The sequence below is a fragment of the Homo sapiens genome, chromosome X, assembly GCF_000001405.40.
Source record: "Homo sapiens chromosome X, GRCh38.p14 Primary Assembly".
Taxonomy (NCBI): Eukaryota; Metazoa; Chordata; class Mammalia; order Primates; family Hominidae; genus Homo; species Homo sapiens.
The window spans coordinates 57,930,229-57,935,194 of record NC_000023.11 but is presented as its reverse complement, the minus strand read 5'-3'; the positions used below and the strand labels follow the sequence as shown (position 1 = coordinate 57,935,194).

General features: G+C 47.2%; 1 pseudogene; it reads left to right on the top strand.

Annotated features, from left to right (window-relative positions):
• On the top strand, positions 358-3,269 carry MYCLP2 (MYCL pseudogene 2; annotated as a pseudogene).

The following is a 4,966-nucleotide window of genomic DNA, read 5'->3' as shown; positions in this document are numbered from 1 at the left end:
TTCCACATGCGGTCCCAAAGAAGTCTTTAATCTGACAGACTAGTTTTCCAAGTGGCATACCAAAAGGCTGGACCATTGGTAGTGTCCCAAGAATTGGGTTCTGACCATTGAGCAGAGAAACCAAGTCCTCTTTTTATTTCTGCATAGCTGGTTCAGAGGCTGAACAGACACAGGAGCCAGTGAACACCATCAGTTTTCAGCTTAGCCAATCCTTCACTGAGGCAAGCCCAGATATTTGGGGAAACCTCTGTAAACAGGGTCCAATTGAACTAGTAGTGTTGTTTCAAGCAGGAGAATAAAAGGTTAAGTTTCCCCCAGAGAGACAGTTGCCACTCTTACATATAAAGCAGAGATGCAGAAGAAATTCGAGTTGATGCCATCGCCCACCCACCAACCCACCCCCGCATTTCCGCCCTGAGACTAGGATCCCAGCGCCAGGGACCCAGACCCTGGGATTGATCGCACAGAGCCGTGATCCGGAGAGTGCGCCGGGGATGAGACGGAATCTCGGGGCCACTCGAGAGCTTGGGGCAGGAACCATGCATCCATTGTCCATCGTGACTGCATGTGGAGCAGCTATTTGGCCTGGGAACAGCTGTAGAGAGCGGGGAGCGACTGGCTCGCCACTGGCGCGCCCTGGGGGAACCCGCCCAAGGTGCCCTCCTCCCCAGACTGCCCTCCCAGCCTCGAAGACGGCAATCCAGCGCCCACTGCTCCCTGGACTCTGGGCAAGGCCAAGACTCAGGCCTGCTCCAGATTTGAGAACCCAAACAACTCAGAGGGTGAGGAAATTGACCTTGTGACAGCAAAGAAAAGGCAGATTGGGTTTACAGAAGTCGATCACCATCATGGTTCGAGTAGACCGTCTGAACCCCTGCATGAAACACTTCCATACCTCCATCCACCAGCAACAACACAACTGCGCTGCCCATATTTCTCCAGAAAGCTGCTCCCAAGAAGAGGCTCCAGAGAGAGGTCTCCAAGAAGAGGTTCTGGAGGGAGATGCTCCAGGGGAAACGGAAGATGAGGAGGATGAGGGGATTGTGAGCCCCTCACCTATAGAAAGCAAGGCTGCCCAGTGCTGCCAGTTCTGACACTGAGGATGTGACCAAGAGGAAGGGCCACAGCTTCCTGCAGCACAAGAGGTGGAATGACCTGCGCGTTCTCAGTTCTTGGCCCTGAGGGACCAGGTACCCACCTTGGCCAGCTGCTCTAAGGTCCCCACGGTAGTGATCCTAAGCAAGGCCTTGGGATACTTGCAAGACCTGGCGTGAACCGAGAAAAAGATGTCTATGGAGAAAACGCAGCTCCAACGCCAGCAACAGCAATTGCAGAAATGAATTGCGTACCTCAGTGGCTACTAACTGACCAAAAAGCCTGACTGTTCTATCTTACAAAGACACAAGTTTATTTTTTGACCTCCCCTTCCCCTTTAGTAATTTTCACATTTTGGTTATGACGGGACAGTCTTTGCAGTAGGTCCCAGAATGCATTGCAGCCAGTACACACAGAATAAGGGCTTGCATTCTTGGAAACCTTGAAACCCAGCTCTTTCTCTCCCCTGACTCATGCTGTGTCTTCTCTGGCGCCTTTGGCTTCTCAGCAGATAGCTGACTGAGGAGATTTGGGGTCTGTTTACCTCACTAGCTCCGAAGAAAAGGCTGACAGATACTATGCAACAGGTGGTGTATGTTGTCGGGGACTCCAGCCTGCATGAAATCTCACACTCCGCGTGAGCCTTAGACTAGGAAAGAATGCTCCCTGGTATCTCTGGGGTGATGCTAGAATGCTCCCTGGTATGTCTGGGGTCATGCAAGGACAGCTGGGCCTGGACAGCACTCTCGCTGTGGCTTTTTTTTCCAGGAGACACACAAGCTGTCTTGGGTGATGACAAGCTTGAAGATTTGATCAACATGACCATTGCTTCACTGTCAGACACTTTACAGTATCTGAGGAGTTGGAAACCTTTAACGTATATATTGTGATATTAGCTGACACCTCTCCTTCCAGTTTCAATGCTGAGACCCTGAGAACATTTAAAGAGCTTGCACTCTAGGTTCGTTGTCTCAGAGCTCTCTGGGCCTTCTCTGATGAAGGGACCTTTCTGTCCTCATGAGAGACTTTTGTTTCATTTTGCCTTTGTTGTGCAATGGGCTTTACAGCATCCTTTCCCACAGGTTAGAAATGTTTCCCCAAGTTACAGGGAAGTGGGGATCCTAGCCTGGGGCCTGAGGAAATCTTGGAGTCCTGGCTCCTGAACTTGTTCCCTGTCCGAGTGGCACTTGAGGCCACCCATCTTATAATCTCTTCTCAAGGCAGATGTAAGTCACCTCAGAAGGGAGAACTGTACCGCTTCCTCTTTTCCATGAAGCTCTCATCTCAATCTTTGACTGATGAGTGTGAAATTCTACCGGAACCATGCAAACACGTCCACCTTGGGCATCTCCAAGGAACTTGTGGGGTCTGCAGCATACTTGGCTCCCTACCAGCCTGCCATGAGTCATATTTCTTTTCCAGAAGGTGGACTTGCTTCCTGGTATGTTTTAAAGGAGCCTGCAGGAGCTCTGCTTAGCCAATCATGATGGATTTTTGCCCCAGCTGGACTCTGCATGTCCAAGGAGAATCCAGGTACAGCCTCCATTCCGGGAAAGACATCCAGCCCAGCAGTTGTCATGTGGGTAACCTCAGGAACCCCTAACCCTGTCCTGGAAAAAGGACAAGCCCCTCCAGAACTCTGCCCAAAATAGCAGGTGCTTGATGGTTCTGAATTTGGAAAGGGATGGGGGGTGATAAGTACTATCTGTGGCTCTGGAAAACCAGCTGCTACATTCAAATCTATTTTCCATAATGGTTTCTTTCTGAGGTTGCTTCGTGGCCTCAGAGAATCCCAGAGGATGTTTTGAAATAGCCTCTCTACCCTTCAGGAGCATGGTAGTTTACAGGAACCAACTGACTTCTGGAACTGTCTATGGAGGGAGAACAGGCCAGGTGTAGGTTACTAATGTCCTACATGAATAGCTTGGTTTTATAAGCTGCTGTTGGGTATTATGTTGGGGCAGTCTTTTTAATATATTGTATTTTTGTACGCATTTTGCAAAGTGGAGTTAACTGTTTTGTAAAAGAAAAAAAAGAAACCCTTGGGTGCTTCTTCTGTTTCAAGGGTCTGATTTATTTGGAAAGGCAAGTTTATCTGAAATTTTGTATTATTGATTGCCCAATTTTAAAATGTTGCCTTCTGGGACATCTTGACAAAAAATATTTCTCAAACATGAAGAAAATAAATATAATAAAAAAGAAATGTCTGTGGGATCAGATGACTGTTCTTGATTTTACCGTTTCCATTTCATAAGCCAAGCTTATTGACCCCTTCCTACCTGCTAGTCATTGAGTCTGAGTTGACCAACTCAAAGATGGAAATATCGAGCCAGATGGTAACAAATTCTCCATGAATCGATTGTTCAGTTTTGACAGAATCCCAATTGCAAGCCATTAGCTGCTTTTCAAAAGGGATGTACCCTGTAGCCATATTAGGGAGGCAACAAGTCCAGTTCCCCAAGGGATCTCTCTGGGTGTTGACTGCTTCCCCTTGCCAGGTGCCCCCATCGGCAAAATCATCAGTTACACAGATTTGTCCTGTATGTAATATTCAAGGAGTTGATTGAGGTTCTGAGCCTCTTTTTCGGTGGCAGGTTGTATGAAGAGACGTCAATTTTTTCCTGTTAGAGGGATCTAATGTTGTGAATTTGCCTGCTTAGTCCCAAGAGATTACTTGGCAAGCAGGCCCCTGTATTTGGGAGCATAAATCAGCCACCCTTGCTGACAGATATGTAATAACACTGCATTGAGGACCCTTGAGACTGAGACTTCTAGCCGGCCAGCTGACACAATTATTATGTATATAGTGAAAATATTGAACATTAGAAGGTAGAGACACTAATGCTAAATCCTGAGCCAACCACTGCTGACAAATCTCATTGGAGTTTGTTCCACTAACACTTCCCTCTACCTCTGTCTCTCTGTGATGGGGATGACTTTATATGAGACCTGTAGAATGAGAAATTACAAGCATATGACCCATCAAATCCTGCCATTTATAAGTAGAAGCAACAAGAACAGTTTATTCAACTTTCCCAAAGGCGTCCCTGTACAAAGTCATATTGGCTTCCAAACCCCACTGTGAACCATGCCCAAACCCCAACAATTGCTTTTCTGGACTTTTTTCCCTTAAATGAACTCAGACCTAGAGTTCACTACAGGAATTTCAGGGGTTACAGCAAGAGCTGTTAGGGGATTTCCCTATGTCCAGGCCAGAATGTAGGGATTGCAGGGGAGTCTTGGGATGAGGCGAGGGGTGGGGACTGTAAGCCTTTTTTGTAATCCCTCTGGCTCTTTGCCCCAGCTTGTATGCTAAATCCTCTCCTGTGTACCTCCATTTGTGCAGAACTGTAAGGGCTCAGGGATTCTTCCATTCTGTCCCTTGATTTCCCCAGCAGCTCTGCTCCACAGTCTTGGTGCTTTCATCTACCTCATACCTATTACCCCTTCCCTCCACTCCCCAGAAAATCAGATAAGATAGTGTCATGGGAGATTATATGTAACAGTTCTGTGAACATGTGAGTCCGTCCCTTTCCTGAAGTACCCTACCATGCATATGCCTTTTAGTCTGTCTTGAGGACAGAGAGACTTCTGGCTCACCACTAATCATCTTTCTTCTTATAGCACCTGAAGTGAGAAAAGGAAGAGAACCAGGAGTTAGGAAATGCAGAGAGAGAGAGAGAAAAGACTCTGTCTATACTAGTAAGCAAGGCATGTTTGCATTTGGTTTCCAGTAGCCAGCAGTGTGGTTCAACCAAACAAACTTCAGATGGTTTTTTTTCCACTGAAAACTCTATATCTTCACTGCTGACGCCACTTATTCAGGTTTGGCAAGTCATTGACTCAGCACCATGACATCATCCCTTCTTCC